We start from the raw sequence: 17,951 nt of genomic DNA, 5'->3' as shown, positions 1-17,951 counted from the left end.
CCATGTAAACTAATGATACGAGACCGTCATATGGCTCCATGTAACCCCTGGAACCACAAAGTTCCCTTGGAATATTTTTATCCCAGTTCAAGGTAGAGAAATGTAAGTAAAATGTATCATACAGTCAGTAAGGGTATCAGCATATCTAGATTTGGCTCTAACAAAATATAATGACTGCAAAACAATATAGGGGACATAAGAAGAGCCACAGTCTAATACTTCATTATTTCCAAATATTTACCATTTGCACAGTCCACTCTTGATAACATGTTTATTAATTTCTTTTTGTTTTGTTTAAAATGCTTAACTTTGGTACTCACATTGCTAGGCTTATTTAAAAACTACTATTTGCTATATTTCATTTTGGAAAAGTGAACATTAGGAATATAATTTTCTGTCTCTTATTTTCAAGATATAAATAAGCTTTCAACAATCCCAACTGAATTATAAAGATCAAAAGTTGAGTCAAAACTTCCAAAAACTACAAGGAGGTATCATCTCACCCTAGTTAAAATGGCTTTCATCCAAAAGAGAGGCAATAACAAATGCTGGAGAGGATATGGAGCAAAGGGAACCCAAATGTCCACTGTTAGTGGGAATGTAAATTAGTACAACCACTGTGGAGAATGGTTTGGAGGTTCCTCAGTAAACTAAAAATAGAGCTACCATATGATCCAGCAATCCCACAGCTAGGCATATACCCAAAAGAAAGGAAATCATTATATCAAAAAGATATCTGTACTCCCATGTTTATTACAGCACTATTCACAATAGCCAAGATTTGGAAGCAACCTAAGTGTCCATCAACAGACAGATGGATAAAGAAAATGTGGTACATATACACAATGGAATACTATTCAGTCATAAAAAAGAACGAGGTCCAGTGATTTGCAACAACATGGATGAAACTGGAGGCCATTACATTAAGTGAAATGAACCATGCACAGAAAGACGAATTTCACACGTTCTCACTTATTTTGGGGAACTAAAAAATTAAAACAATTGAACTCATGGAGATAGAGAGTAGAATGATAGCTACCAGAGGCTAGGAAGGGTTTTGGGTGTGGTGGAAGTAGGAATGGTTAATGGGCATGCAAATATAGTTAGAATCAGTAAGATCTAGTATTTAATAGCACAACAGGGTGACTACAGTCAACAGTAATTTATTGTACATCTTAAAATAACTAAAATATTATAACCGGACTGCTTGTAACACAAAGAAAGAATAAATGTTTCAGGTGATGGACACCCCATTTACCCTGATGTGATTATTGTACATTGTATACCTGTATCAAAATATTTCATGTACTCTATAAATATACACACCTACTAGGTACCCACAATAATTAAAAATTAAACAAAAAGAAAAACCTTTCTAAATGAGTGAAAATTGGGATCAATTTGTCTTCCCTGGCTGTATAATGGATATAGACCACAATGGTCACAAATATCAACAAATCATATATTCAGTGTAAGCCCAATACATTTCAAGCATATTTACTCAGTTCTCTTGTGGTTCTTCTATTTAGAATTGAAGAAATTTAGAATACTAGAATGAAATCCAAGACAGATGAAATCTCGCAAATGTTAAAGGGCATGATTTAAATTAAAGGCCACAATTTGAAAGAGATCCTAGCAGGCCTCTGAGTTTTTAGCTTACAGTACTTAAAATTACAAGGATTAGCAGTAGGAGCTCTAAAAAGAGGTGTAACACCTTGTGTTCTTATTTGAGTGTGTAAAAAGACAATAGCACTCATAAGTCAACTTGCCACTTTTCCCAACATCATATGATTCATAAATATTCAGGATCCCAACCTAAAAACAAGTTTTAAATGACCCTGGATTGTGATATTGAAAATAATATTATCAAATCATTTTAAAGGCGAAACCGAAGCCTGTATTTTATTTTAAGAAGTGCTTGGTCTCCAGGAGTTAATGCTGTCCAAATAAAAATTTTGGCTGACATGTATGAAAAGTTTTCTGTACCAATCACCAATGCAAGACACTCATGAATCTATCAATCACAGAATTAAAAAGCTCTGTCATACAGCACACTTAATACCCAGTGTAACTAATTAGTATTACCATTTTTTGATGCAATACAAACTCATTTCCTTAAACTGCTATCGCACTGAACTCCAGGGTTATAAATGAGCAGAACACAAATTGATTTGCATGTAATAACAGTGGCAATAAACCTTTCCTGGTTCATGCAATTTTCCCCATCTGTTAACAGAGGGCAAGTTTAGGAAGTGTTATTCCAAGGAGGGGACTTACCCAGCTGGACATCTATAACACTTGGCTGATTCTCCATGGGGAACAATGGCTTGGGAGGCTTGTCTGTGAGTAAAGCTAGAAGAGAAAATGAAAGAAAGTAATGGAAAAATTGAGATAAATTACAGGATGAGAAAGATTCTATCATGTATGATATTTAATGTTTGTAGACTTGATGGTGTGTAAACATTTATTAGACAGTGTTCCTACTTCCTACTTGGGTTGTTACTCTATCCATACAATATCCATTTCCCAGCACATTTAGAGCACCATTGATTCACTGTAAATAGGCCATTTTGACAACTACATTTTCCAACAAGATGAAACAAATGGACTATTTTGGGTGGTTTTTATAAATTTGTAAGTATAAAGAAATATATATTTTAAAAGTATAATTGAGAAATAGTAAATCCTCATATATGCTTTGTAGTGGTATTCTCAATGAAATATTACCCTAACGGACATTTTTAGTGACATGAATCTTCTAAACCTCTGAATTATCCCCCACTCTCCACTGCAACCTCCAAAACAATATAATAAAGCAATGATATCTTCATTGGGATAATTGATCAAAAATACCAATTAAGCATCTTTTGTACTCCAAGTCTTGTGCTAGCTACTAAAGGGAAAGAAAGTAAAGTCTTTATCTTTGCCCTCAATTTATAACACAGGACTATGAACACAGGACTAGCACACCATAATAGAGAATGGAACATAGAATGTAGCATTTGAGCTATAAGGCTATATATAGGTGGTAAAGAAATGGAGAAAGGAGAGGTTAATATTCGCTGGAAGGTTTGGGGAAAGTTTTATGAAGAGAATGGATCTCCATACGAAACTTAAGGGATGGAGAAAATTTGGAAAGGCAGAGAGTGGAGAAGATTTGGAAAGGCAGAGAGTAAAGAAGAAAAGATTCTCAGAAGATTCTCAAAAAGATTTTCAAAAGATTATCAGGAAAGATTAACAACATAAACCAAGGCACAAAAGTAGAACTTCACAAGCATAATATGCTTTGAGGAAAATGAGCCTGATGAGAAGGGGTTTTGTGAGCACCATGAATTAAAAATGAAACTAGATAGATTGGATGGGGCTGAATTCTGGAGGACTCTGAGTAACAGGCAGAGGAATTTGGACATGATGTTCTAGGCTGGAGTGTCATTGTAGATCTTGAAACAAAAAATGACTCAAAGGAAGTGATGTCTAATGATGATTGGCTTGATATGTGGAATGGGCTGAGAGAAGAACAAAAACTAAGAGGTTGAGGAAACAATGCTGCAGTGTGTGGGGATGGGTGGTGGTGAGCAGTCACACCAGGTTGGAGTTTGGGGAATTTTTTTTTTTTTTTAATGAGAGGACAAATCTGAGAGGCACCTGGAAGAAAGAAATGAGAGGACTCAGTATGCAGATACATAATGTCATGTGTATTGTTGTCATAAAACAACCCTTACTTATATCAAACTATTGTTTATATCCTGAATTCCCTTTAACTGATTCTGTATTTATGTCTTGCTTCAAGTATCCAACTGAACTCTTACCTACTAAAAAGAAATGTTTTATACTTCTTTATAATTCACAGGAGGAATAGCATAGGATTGTGCTATAATGATTAAGCCACCATTAATTGACTAGCTTAGGAATTCCCTGCCAACATGAGAGAAGATCTCATACTATTTGAAGAATATTTAGAAGCGAAAGAGAGAAATAAAAGTTGATTACAGGACAGGTAAGGTTAGGGAACTATACAAATTTGGAGAGATTCCCAAAATAGTTGTTGATAATAAACAAATGCACCAGAAATATACTTAGGAAAGAGCTTTATGGCACATTAGCTTTCTCTTCCTAATACCTGAGCTGCCTGAAGTGGAAAAATTTCAGTGAATTAATTGCCTTCATTTTTCCAACACATCATTCAAGATGACATACAATATGTATTGTCCTTATGGAATTGAACAACATTTTTGTTTTAATTGACTTTGGCATAATTTAGACCTACTAATATAATGTCTAGTCTTCATTTCATAAATACTACAGTTACTCTTAATAATCTGATTTTTAAATATTATTGGAAACATGAGGGATCTACTTTAAAAAAAATGAATATGTTTGAATTTAAAATCCAGTTATATCAGATGTTCAATTTTGTTGTAGTTTGCTATTATTTGTAATAGTAAAATATTGGAAACAACCTCAATTTCTAATAGTAGGAGCCTTGTTACAATTGTGGTGATTTCATATAATGACATATTATGATACTGCTGTTTAAAATAATTAGGTAAATCTGTAGATTAGATATGAAAATATTTCCAAGACATACTGTTTAATGAAAAAAACAAGGTCCCAAATAGTATGCGCAGCATGCTATTTTGAGTATAAAACATACATATGCATATATAAATGTTTGTATATGTATGAAATATTTCTAGATGGATACATGTGCAACTGGTAACAGTGGTGTCCTCTGAAGAGAGGGAGTGGATGGCTGAGTAACTGTGGTGGGTAAGGAAAGGGTGTCATGGGCAGGCAGAAGGAAGATTTAATCTTCACTATATGCCTTTATATTTTGAACCATCCCCATATGCTATGTATTCAAAACATAAATAAAATTAAATCCAGCCATTTTTCATTTTATTAATAAAAAACCCATTTTGATTTCTTTATAGAATTATTGTCAATTTACCTTACACATCCAAATTATAGACATTTAGTTTGCTGGAAACTATTCTTGGGCAATCTTATTTTAAAATATTTCCTTCTTCCAAATAAATTAACTGGAATGTGATAGGTGGGAAGCAATTGTAAGGAATGTATTTCATGTATGGAAATGACAATCTTGCTCTGCTTTCAGCAGGATGAGTTTGGGGTCATTGTTTTCCCCTTCCCTTATCTTCCGCCATGGACTATGGATGTATTTACCCTAATTTTATTATTGTTAAATATCAATTGCTGAAGTGACATTCACTAATATTAATGATAATTTTAAGCATCTTACATTTATAGGTGGTTCATAAGTTTCAAAGTGCTTTCAGATACATTAGCTCATATTATCTTCATGATGACCTTGTAAGGTAAAGAAGACAGTTACAAATGTGGCCAATTTAGATATGAAGTTAAATGAAGCTTATATTGTCTTATTTGGTGTCCCCTTGGGACCAAAAGCCCCCACTTGCAAGATGAATAGGAAAACAGGATATAAGTTGTAGGCAGTAGACAGGTAAAGAGCTCAGTACTGAGTCAGTGGTTTTAGCCTCTTTGACTCTACGATAATTACACTAGGGTTCCTAGTCCAATGGGAATGGCTTTGTGGCAAACAGCCAGTTGAAACATGATCCCTGTAGGACACCCCACACATATACACCTTTTCCCCCTAAACCTGTGAATGGAAAGAGATGAACTGGCACTTAACCCAGCACATCTCAATGGGATATAAGGCTATGGTGCCTCTTTAAATTCCAATATCATGTTTAGGCCTGAGAATTGCTAAGAAGTGCAGAACATTTGTGATGATAAAGCAGCAACTGCAGCAGTTCAATTGGATCCTGACCACCAGCCCAGAGACAAATCTATCAGCACCTTGCATAATTATAGCATTTGCAGATTAGCTAGAGTGCATGCTGCCACAGGGAGGCAAGCTCATTTCTTGTTCATTTTTATTTTTAAATCTCATCTGAAACTCAGTTACTAATTGTGAAAGGAAAGAAAGAACTGTCAATACCAAGTCCCCTAAACAACAGGGCAGAGATTTACAATTTTATTAGGAATTTTATCCTGGACCTCAAGGGGGACTAATTGGGGTCTGAGCTAATCTTTGAATTTGCTGCTTAAGCTTCATGCTTTGATTGAAAGAATGGGAGCAAAGGATACATTTTGTTACTAACGTTTCAATGTACAATTTCACCAATGCACTTTCCTCAGTAGCTGCTTATATTTAATTATCCTTAAATATAATTGCTCTACTGTGTATACCATGACACTAGTCTTAACGTGTTAGTGAAGCTACTACTATTACTGCCTTCTTCTTCCTAAAACTAGGTTTTATATGTTTGACACTAACTTTCCTGAGAAGAATGCTCAAAATAACTTGTTCTTTTCCATGATAGGCAATGATTTTATCTATATGTACAACCAGATCAACTGGTTTGACTGAAATGATTGGTCAATTTCCATGAACTTAGTATAAAAAATAAGTAGACTCATTTGTTTAATTGAATAAATGAATTTGACTACATTGCCCAAGTGTTACCTACTGTTATGACAACTTTCATTGTCCTCTTTTGTTGTTGACTTACCTGTTTAATTAGATTGGCCAGAAAGACCAAGTGGGAGGGAGTAGAAGGACAGAAACTCATTAATTTCTGTGAATGAAGCTATTTTGGAATTTGTATGTTATGGTCAATGAAATGGATCCTCCCAAATCCATTCAGCATAGCAGCACTAAAATCACATTCTAACATCACTATTTTCGTCATAACATTTAACCATTCAAAACCTACCAATGTTTCCTACATTTACAGGAGGATAAACTCTGAACTTGTCACCTGGGAACATAAAGGCAGTCATAGTCTAGCCTTAATAACTTTCCTGTCATTATTTTATTTTATTTATTTTATATTTTATTTTATTTTATTTTATTTTATTATTTTATTTATTTTTTGAGATGTAGTTTCACTCTTGTTGCCCAGGCTGGAGTGCAATGGCAGAATCTCAGCTCACCTTAATCTCCGCCTCCTGGGTTGAAGCGATTCTCCTGCCTCAGCCTCTGGAGTAGCTGGGATTACAGGCATGCACCACCACGCCCGGCTAATTTTGTATTTTTAGTAGAGACAGGGTTTCTCCATGTTGGTCAGGCTGGTCTCGAACTCCCGACCTCAGGTAATCCACCCGCCTCGGCCTTCCAAAGTGCTGGGATTACAGGTGTGAGCCACGGTGCCCAGCCTTTCCTGCCTTTTTACCCACCTATCTTCTATTTTATTGATGCTATAGACAACTTACTTTCCTCATTCACATCGCATTAATTTCCAACTATGCATCTTGGCTTAAACTCTTCCTCTAAGTTTGGTAACAAACAAAAACAGCTACCATAGTTATGATTTACTTAATATCTACTGTTCTAGGCTGTTTCAAGACATTTTATATTACATTTTACAAATAACTTGCCCAAAGTCAAGCAGCTTCTTCTTGAATCTAAAGAAGGGACCTGAATTGAGTTCTGTCTGATTTCACCAGGCCCACAATACTCTAAGACCTCCCCCTTTCTTTTTTTCATCCCAAGTCCTAGCTATCCTCCAAAAACTTGTTTAAGTCTTGAATCCTCCAGAAAGCCTTCCTTAATAACAGTCCAAGCTAATCTTTCTCCTCTCTTAAATCCTAAAGCATTGACTACTCCTTTGAACCACCCATTTGGTTCATGACATGTACTACTTTGAATACAAATTAAACCTCACATTACATGGGTATGTCTTGTCTTCCTAACTATATTTTTAAGCTCCTGGAGGATAAAGATCATGTCTCATATAATTCAGCAAAGAAGATAGTATGTGACATTGGGGAACAAATAAACACAATCTCCAAATTAACTTCCCGGTGGTATTCTTTCTCTAAAAAACTGTGCTTCCCATAGCATTCTTAGATTGCAAGGAACAGAATCAAACTTTTGCTAATTAAAGCCAAAAGGGAATTTATCAGAAGTATATCTCAAGGATGGCCAGGAAGTTTGGGGAACTAGGTTTAATAACAGAAAAGAAACCAGGCGAGGTCTAGGTATGCAAGCAAAAGAGACTATACAATAATTTCATCTTGACCCCCTCATTGAATTGAACTGGTTTTGTTGTTTTTTTTTAATATGTTTTCTTTTATTGTGTTGTATCTTGGTTAAATGTTTTGTCCTTGTTTCACTTTGATCAAGATTCAAAATCCCAGAATGACAGGCTGAATGAACAAGTTTTGAGCTCCAGGCCTAGGAAAGATTATATGCAAATCATGAAGAAGAGAAGAATCTCCTAAAAGCAGTTTTTTTCAACCTCAGCGAGATAACATTCACTAACAGCAAATTCTTTGTTGTAGGTGACTGTCCCATGCATTGTTGGATGTTTAGCAGCTTCCCTGGCCTCTACCCAAAGATGCCAGTAGGACCTTCCCCCAGTTGTGAAACTAGAAATGTCTCAAGATATTGGCAAAATGTAATGAGGGCAATAACATTGTACCTGCTTAATAACCACTGTCCTAAAGAAAACTTAGGTTGTGTTAGAAAAAGAAATAAATACTAGATGGCCAAAGGTAACAGGCAATACCATCTCATTGCCCAACTCCAGGGGCACACTTACATCAGTTTCCATGTGAATGGCATTCCTGGGAGCATATAATATTAATGGGATGCCCTGAAGTTGTGCAAAGAAGTGACATTGATCACACACATCCATTAATAAAACACAATTTTATTAATTAAAACAATAATATTTTATGCCAAATACTTCTCAAGTTCTGAAATAGTCACTGGATTTTGTCAATGGGTAGCAACCATTCCATGGGCTCTTTCCTCTTCCAAATCACCTAAGCTCATGAGCTAATTCCAAAAGAGAGCAATAGCAGCCTTATGGCTCTTTGTCCGAAAGTGCGCAGATGTACAAGTATTACAGACTGCCTATTGTTCTGAGGGAATTGAGGATTTTGGGAAGAAAGACTTGGGAATAGCTTTCATGTGAGAAGACAAAATGGAGGTCCTTACTTAGCAAATCAGATTTACGGAGAGCCAGAGATCCTGTTAATACCTTAAAAATTTCCTGTAATCATGAATGGAGATTTGCCAAGCTTAGCCTAAGTAGTTGACTAGTTTGAAGATTTCATAAATTGAACACAGAATGAATGCAGAAATTGCTGAGCTCTGAACACATCATAAGAGCTATTATTCTTTGGAATACTTGTCATTTTTTTATTGTGATTAGCTGATAATTGCTTGAGGCAAGGAATCTCTCTTTCTCAATTAACTACATAGTCTTCCTAATCCTGTATTATGATGTACACAATTTACTGGCCACTTAATCTAAAGCTCCATACGATAAAAATATTTTATTTCTAGAATTACCAGGCTGAGAGTCCCGTAATTTAGATGATTATCCAGGAAAAAGTATAGAAAAATCATGATTATTCAATATCATCCTTAATGTTCCAAACCTGTAAATTCAAGCAGGACCAGCCTTGGTTACAATATATCTCCTTTGCCCTAATATTCCTAATTTTGTGATCTCTATTTTAGAGAAATTTCTTCTCCATCCTGCTTTTAGGCACACAAAGTTGTGACTCTGATCAAAACCTGCTGCAAAAAAGCATCTGCCATTTAAACCTTAATGTGAACTTAAGACACTTGTACCTTCTCTCATAAGGCTAGCTGCTTTTGAAGGATTGTCTCTAAATGTGGAATGAAAGACTTTAGTCCATTGTAGGCACACATTGGGCACCAGGGCCCCTTTCTTGACTTACTATCTTCACATTGATGTTAGCCAACAAACAGGGTGGCCTTCTGCAGAAGCCGATGAAGACAAGTAAAGCTGTTTTCCTCAAGATTCTAACCAGCATTACTATGAGTGAATCTTCTAGTTCATAATAACATCTTAGGAAAAGAGCCCAGGCATATGTTAAATTAAAAAATCAATGTTCATTAATAATCAAGCTTTGTTTTTATTTCAGCTTGTTATTACTTCCATCAACTAACCACTGTAGCAATTAATATTTTATAATCATTTTCTCTACCAAAATTATAATATTGTCTGTCTTATTTGTAACAGGAGGAAACAGATCAGCATGGACTGTTTATTAACTCAATCTAGAGAGAAGATATATTCTCTAGGTGTCCCAGCTATAATAGAACATTTGTGATAGGCTCACCACAAAAAACAGAACCAGTGATCCCCAGAATTATTTGAAAATTTGTTTTCAAATCACTGATGGCTCCAACTTCAGATACTTTTACATGTATCTCCCTCATCTCCCTACCTACTACAACCCTTTAAAAATAATTCGCTTCATTAAGTCACTGTTACTGATGACAATGGTTCATGTTCCTCACATGTATATTTGGAAGATAAAATTATTGAGAACTGCTGAGAGTCAAACACATGAAAGTTTATATTCAGAGGATTACATTGCTTTTAAAACACATTCCAGTTTCACTAAAAATATCCCTTCCATTATTTAAAGCCATTGAAGTATTTGCCTTTTATTAGCATAGAACTTAAAGTCAGTTATTGTCTTTAATAAATAAGTGATCCTTTACCAAATAGAGGTTAAACTGCTGGGAAAGTGCTGGGCAACTTACCTGACCATTGCCCCTGCAAAGCTTAGGGCCTCCCTAGCAACTGGCTCAGAGCCTGTGTCCTGCCTTGCAATTCAGTGGATGTGCCCTGAGGGTAGTGAATGGTCAGGGCTGCTGTGAAGTTGCCCTGAGTTGCCCTTTTCTCTAGATCCCACATTTATTTCCACTAATATTTGAGTTTTGAGCAGTGCATGAGCTTTGGGAAAGCTTAAGTATAAGGCAGGGCAATTTCTTCTCAATGCCATTTGACACAAGGCCCTTCTCTGGAGAGAACAATGTTTATTCAGCACAAATCTGCCCAGACATAAAGCAACTTCTTCAAATTTGAAAAGAAAACAACCTTGGGGGAAATGGAAACTTAAACAGTGGTTATGATGGTAGTTTTGTTTTTTTTTTTTTCTTCACAGTTCCTGCTTTTTCTTCACTGTTGCCTTTTTCCCCTCAAGTAAGATTTTTCTTTCTCTCTCTAAAATAGTACTCCCTGGACCCTTATATTGTTGATGTCAAACAAATTCCACATATAGTTATTATCAAAGAAATTTCACAAGATAGTATACTTCCAGGTTTCACACAGAACTTGGGATATAGTTAGTATTAAAATAAGTATGAAAGGTTAAACATGGGAGATGGGTGAATTTTTACCTTGCTTAAAGATCATCATTTGGCTCTGTGATGACTGATCTGTCAGGATCTAGAAATTTGGCCTAGATAGTGATGTCTAAAAATATAATATGATACCCAAGGATGGATAATTTTAGAGCTAGACAAACCCTTAGAGATCTAATTCATCTGGCTATTTTGACAGATGAAGAAACTGAAAGGCAGAAAAGGAGGAATGTACTCAATATCATACTGCAAATTAATAATAAAACAGAAGACCCAAACCCAAGTTTCTTGAATTAAAAGTTCAATATTCTTGCTACTGCACCATGGCTAACATTGATTAAGCAGGGATTTCATGCCAAGCCCTTTTACATTTATTCTCTCATTAAATCCTCATGACAATGTATAAAGTAGGTCCTACTATTATCAACATTTGACAGATAAGAAAACTGAGGCTCAATGAGTTTAAATTATTTGTCCAAAGTCACATTGCTGGTAAATACATTTTGGGTCCAAGATTCAACCAAAGTCTATCTCACCCTTGAGTCCAAGGTCATAGCCACTACTCTATACTGTCATATTTCTTCCGTGTTTTTTTTTAAGACTGTTTTTTTGTGTGTGTGTTCAAAATACATCCAAAATATCTCCATATAAGCATCACCAAAAAAAATAAATAAATAAATAAAAAGGAAAGAAAGAAAGAAACCTAAACACTTCACTAAACTGATGAGCTTTGGGGATTAATTGACTGAATACCTCCTTTAGCTGTATCCACAAAATTCCACAGGTCAAAGAATGGGATGAAAATTCGATTTTGGATTACTTGGTGTAATTCATTCTTATAATCAGTTAACAAATGTTTGTAGTTCTATTACAGAAAGGTACTCTACCAACTAGTGTGTATATCTTCGTTGGGGGCAGTAAAGTATAAATTTGAAGAATACACAGAGTCAGATCAAAAGGCTTAATCTAGTAGAAGAAACGGAGGTATAAAATGGCTGTAGTAACTGACAAAAAGTGGTAATTGACTGTTTTAACTTTTATTGCTGCTGGTAAGCTATCACACACTTAGTAGTTTAAAACAACATATTTACTATTATCTTATTGTTTGGGAAGTGAGAAGTCTAATGTGGGTCTCACTGGATTAAAATTAAGGTGTCAGCAGGGCTGCATACCTTTCTGGAGGCCCTGGGAGAAAATCAATTCCTTTTCCTTTTCTACCTTCTAGAGTCTGTCTGCATTCATTGGTGCTTGGCCATTTTTCATCTTCAAAGCCAGCAAGGGCAGGTTGAATCCTTGTGACATTATATTATTCTTTCTTTTCTACCTACCTCTTCTATTTTTAAGGAAACCTGTGATTTCATTGAGCTTACCTGGATAATCCATGATGATTTCCCTATTTTGAGGTCAGGGGATTAGCAACCATAATTCTACTTACAACCTTAATTTGACTTTGCTATAGAACCTACCATATTCCTAACAGATTAGATTATGGACATCTTTGGGGTGGAGGGCATTATTCTGCCTACTACCATGCCACAAGAAGTAATCAAATAAAATATAGATAAAATTTAAAGAAGCAGAATATGACATTGCGGCTGTCATATGGAATAACATATTGTCTGTATTGTATTTTTATGAAAATAACTTTTTTACTGGTCTCATTTCAGCCAAATCAGTTTTTGAACATAATCTTTGCATTTCAAACCAAAGTTCATAAAGGCAATTATTTGACTAGATTGGGCAGGTATTGATACTTCTGTTTTCAGTCTAATGGTTTATTTACTTATGGTTTTCAAACTAATTAGGCATTCATAACTTGTTAACATGATGTTTTGCAATACAAAAGAATAAGGAAAAGCAAAATATCACTTAAGTTCAGTTGTTTGGATGTGCTAACAGTCCGTAATGAGGATGACAACCGGATATTAAATAAGCATTTTTCAAAAAATCAAAAGTTTCATGACAGGGATAATTTTCTAATTCACAGAATATTTGTTTGGTAAACATTATTTGTGATGTGATATTTAGAGCTCAGAAAGAAGAGAACCATTCTAACATAAAGACTTACTTAGTTTGGGATCTGAGGTAGAAAATAAAGTGTAAATCACAAGGCATTATCACTTTATCCTCCTCCATGTCAGCTTTACATTACCAGAGAACTTTCCATGATTGTGAGTAACCTATTTGTTTACATGACAACAAGCCAAATGCATGGTCATCAAAAATCTATAAAGTGCAGGGTGTTATTTCCACTTTGCAGATGAGGAAACTGAGGTTCAGACAGGTTAATTTACTCTCCTAAGGACTAACCTCTGGCTACTAAGAGCCAGAACCAAAATGTAAATCCTAATTTCCTGACTCCTATTCTGTAGTCTCCCAGTCTCATTTAATCCTCACAACATTCCTATGAGATGAGTACCACTATTTCCATTTTTTGTTGTTGTGGTTGAGGAAATTAAAGGCCAAAGGGGTTAGGTCACTTGACCAAGGTTACCTTGCTAGCAAAGATGGCAGAGCTATCATTCAAATCTATGTCTGTTTGGCTTTAAAGCTGAGATCTTCCCCCAGAATCATTCAAGGATGAATATGTAATAATATTTCAAATGAACTAAATCATACTAGAGCAGTCTCTGAAAATAAAGTAGTTTTACTTTCCATTTCCATCACTGAAGTCAGGACCTGGCTCTTAGAAATCTTGATTAATTTCCCACATGATGGCAGCTCTCTGGGAGGTTTCCAAGCTTGTTCCCTGTCTTCGTAACACCGATGAGAACTAATTTAATTAATCAAATATAAGCTGATGATCTATGATGTTGAAATTGATTTTCAAATGGAGCCAATTATGACTGCTCATAGTTCCAAGGAAAAAATATAAGCTAGGTGATTTCAAGATGTGATTACTGGATACAGAAGAATTGAGAAAGGAAAAAAATTAACTGAATTTACAAAGCACTTTCTCTTTCCCATGATTATCTCATTAAGTCCAACTCGGAGACTAGGAAAGCAAGAATTGTTGTCTCCAGAAACTGAGATAGGAAATCTTGGGAATTTTTCAAAGTAGGATCCAAATCTCATGAAAAAGGGTGACTTGCCTTTTTGAATCAACTTTTTGAGTAAACTTGCCAGTTAACTGTGGAGCTTTGATGGCCCCATTTTCTCTGATAGAATAAGCATTTAGTCAGCTGTGATTATCATTCATCTCCTGATATAACTTTGTCAAGAAATTGGGTTCGATGTTCAAAGGATATCCTGACCCTCTAAATAATACGTCTTTGAAATACCATAAGGCAAGCTAATTCTTTGACAGGGGAATCAAATTCCACCATAGTGTTTTCTGTACTGGTTTAAATGAAGCAGCTTCCAAGTATAGTCTAATTCACCTAAGGGTCTGTACCACCACCACCCCTCCATCCCACCCCTCACTTCCCCAACCTCATCCCATTATTCCCTAGTCTGGACTGACACTTCCTCTGCAGAACATTCAAGTACAGATGGAAACCCAGGTGTGAAAACTGCTCTGAGCTTATGACAAATTGATCTAGTGCCACTGGATGTTTCTACAGCAAATATGCACTTTCTCTGAGAGTATCTTTAGTCAAAAAGTGGTCAGGTCATTTGTGAGAGAACAAAAGGCTTTTCAGGAAACTCTTGTGGGGGTTATTACCTGAGGTTACAAATCAGGGAAAACCCTGCAAATAGATCTTGCTGTGTTAGGTGACTCAGTGTCTACTGCTATGCTTTTAACATGAAGGCTAGTTACTTGTCTGACCAAAACCCAACCCTTTAGGATCTTTGTCTATGGGCTAATGACCCATTAGTGCTTTAGCATCAGCCTGACAGCCAGTGCTCACTAGCATATATCCATTTAATCTCAGAGAGCTTGGGAGAAAAAAAAAAAAGGCACTGCATAGTACGTGAGAAAAGAATTCAGTTCCTGGGACAGCAGAAGCTCCTCATCCCCACCTGTCTTATGTGTATCTAGACCTTGGAAATGTCTGTGATGTTCATTAGCATCAGGCTGATCTCAGTCTAATTCAGAGCAAATGGTTGCTTATGTTTATTATTTTATAGGAAAAGCCTTTCTCAACTTTCAAAAACATCTGCCACCCACTATCTAGATCACAGAACTCTAAGATGTTGTAGTTGAAAGCATAGGTTCTGTGTTAACACCTGAGTCTTAGTTCTGGCTCTAGCACTTACTTTGTGACCTTGGTCATGATTCCTAAGCTCCTCTGGGACTCCATTTCCTTGATGCATAACTGTGGATAATAATAGTACCCATTTTTTAGGATTATTATGAGGATCAAATAAGATCATGCTTCTAAAGTGCTAGGCAGAGGCCTGGTACATAGTTTAGTTCTCAATAAATGGTAGCAAACATTGATTTGCCAATTAAAGAGAACATCGAGCTGTATATTCTCCTAGGGATGGAACCCAATTAATTACCCCACAGTAAATGAATGGCTGTAAATATTTAGGTTGGTGCAAAAGTAATTTCACAATAACTTTCGCACCAACCTAATAGGTACACCAATGAGAGGAAGGTTGAAAGGACAAGGGCCAGGTACCGAAGGGAAGAAGTGAGAGTAGGGTAGATAGAGATACAGAGCATCAGGATCACCAAAGCAAGACTCACTCACTTCAAAAATTCGATTCTGCAATACCACGTGCTATCACAGTACTTGTACAAATAGATACAGATCTAAAACTCACATAGCCAGCTTCTGCCTTGGTAAGAGGACCACATATTCTCCACAAGCTTCAAAATCATCTATAATAATGCATAAAAAATGGATTGAGCTGGCAAGTATATTTCCATAGTGTCTGTGTGGATAATACACTCAGCATAAGTCACTGATTTTATTGACTCCCCCTAACCTATGCAAAGCCAAAAAGGAAATTAAGCTGGGTGGCTGGGTTTTCAGGCTGATGTCAATTTTGCTGCAAAGCAAACAGGCAAGTTACTGGCAAAATAATAGAAGCCACTTCATCAGCCTTATGAAATTTCTTCCACAGACTAGATAGTCTAAAAGCAACTTACTACCCATTTGGTTTATCTCTGAGCTCTGAGCTAGAACTTAAGATACATGGGTTCTGATCCTGGCTCCACTAAAAATTTATAGTGTAACCTTGAACAATTCTGTTACCTTTTCTAACTTTTCTATTGCTTAGGTTCCTCAACTTCAAAATGGATATGGTAACTGCCCTGTGTAGTTTTATAGTTAATATGAGGATCAAGTGACCTAAGAAATATAAAAAGCCCTATGAGGTTTTTATAAAATCTCTAAATATATAAGCTGGAAAGCTGGAAATGTCCTCCTAAAGTCACAACTTCCAACATTGCATCCCAGAGATATAGCTATCTTATGCCATTCTCAGGGTGCCTGTGAAGAATATCTACAGGACCACTTCAGTTTTTTGTTTGTTTGTTTTGGTGTTTTAAAGGATTTTGTCACCATAGCATTCTATTTTATGTCTAGTGTAAATTAATCTAATTGTACTAAAGGCTACATTCATTGAAGAAGAGATAGAAGAATTATCACCAACTATATTTCTGGAAAATAATAATATATAACATTTACAAAATGCTTACTATAAGGACTTCACCAGTATTAATTCATTTAATGCTTTCAATAACTTTATGTATGGGGTATATACTATTATTATCTCCATTTTATAGGAAAAAACTGAGGCATTAAGAAATTAGGTGACCTACCCAAGATTACATAGGTAATAAGAAACAAAGCTGAAGTTTGAATTTAGGCAGTCTGGCTTCATAGTCCTTTTAAAATATAAGACTAACAAGATCCTGATCAATTTGCATCATTTCAATAGTACTTAGTCTTAGACAGTCATAATTACAAAGACTCTAGTCTTCCTACCTAATACATGAGTTCCCTCCACAGTTCCCAGTATTCAGTCTTTGCTTGATAACTTTTCTGCAATAGGCTCACTGCCTCTTGACATCAATCATTTCAATTTTGGAATAACTTTATTAAAATTTCTTCTTTATGTTCAGCTGTAGTTTGTTTCTTTGTATGTTATACCTCTTGGTCCTATTTCTGGTCTCTGGAACAACACAGAATAAACCCAATACACCTTCTATATACCAATGCTTAAAACATTTGCAGACAGATTTCTTGATCTCTTTCACCCCCTTCCCTTCTAAAAGCTCTTCCCCTTTCAGGCTAAACACTTAGTTTCCTCAATTGCCCACTGTCTTTCAGGTGACATGTTTTCCAAAACCCTTTTCCATCCTAGACAATCTTTTTTGGACACAATCTAATCTATCAATGGGTTTCTTAGATATGGTACAATAAACTGAACACATAATTTCTGATGTCATCTAAAGTGCAATTAAACCAATACTTCTATTGTTCTGGACCCTACCTTTCTGTGATGCAGACTAAGACTAAATTAGAATTTTTGGCAATCTAGTCCCACTGCTTGTGCTCTCAGCCAAATAAAATTCTAAGACTGTGCTTTTGCAGTTGGAGTTTTGGACCTGAATGAAAAGCTTTACATTTTTTTCCTATTAAATGTAATCTGGTTAGTTTCAACCCATCATTCCAAACTACTGAGATATTTTTGAAAAGAAATATGTGCTCCAAAGTATTAACTGTCCCTCCCAACTTCCTCTCATCTGAAAATGTGATAAATATCATTTATATGTCATCTAAGTCACAGATAAAAAATGCAGAACAGGATAGCACTCTGAGAGAAGGCTCTCTGGTGGCCAAGAACATTGGTTCATTAATGAACACTT

At 35.7% G+C, this 17,951-nt stretch overlaps 1 protein-coding gene across 2 annotated transcripts in view; it reads right to left on the bottom strand.

The window, feature by feature from the left end:
• IL1RAPL2 (interleukin 1 receptor accessory protein like 2) overlaps positions 1–17,951 on the bottom strand; it is a 1,201,631-nt gene that overhangs the window by 281,165 nt on the left and 902,515 nt on the right. For both annotated transcript variants that reach the window (NM_017416.2, XM_011530905.3), the window contains one exon: positions 2,278–2,352. In NM_017416.2, the coding sequence (NP_059112.1) occupies positions 2,278–2,352 (75 nt within the window). The remainder of the gene's footprint in view (positions 1–2,277; positions 2,353–17,951) is intronic.

This window comes from Homo sapiens, chromosome X (genome assembly GCF_000001405.40).
Source record: "Homo sapiens chromosome X, GRCh38.p14 Primary Assembly".
Classification (NCBI taxonomy): Eukaryota; Metazoa; Chordata; class Mammalia; order Primates; family Hominidae; genus Homo; species Homo sapiens.
The sequence above is the reverse complement of the archived record's forward strand: the minus strand, read 5'-3'. Positions and strand labels throughout refer to the sequence as shown.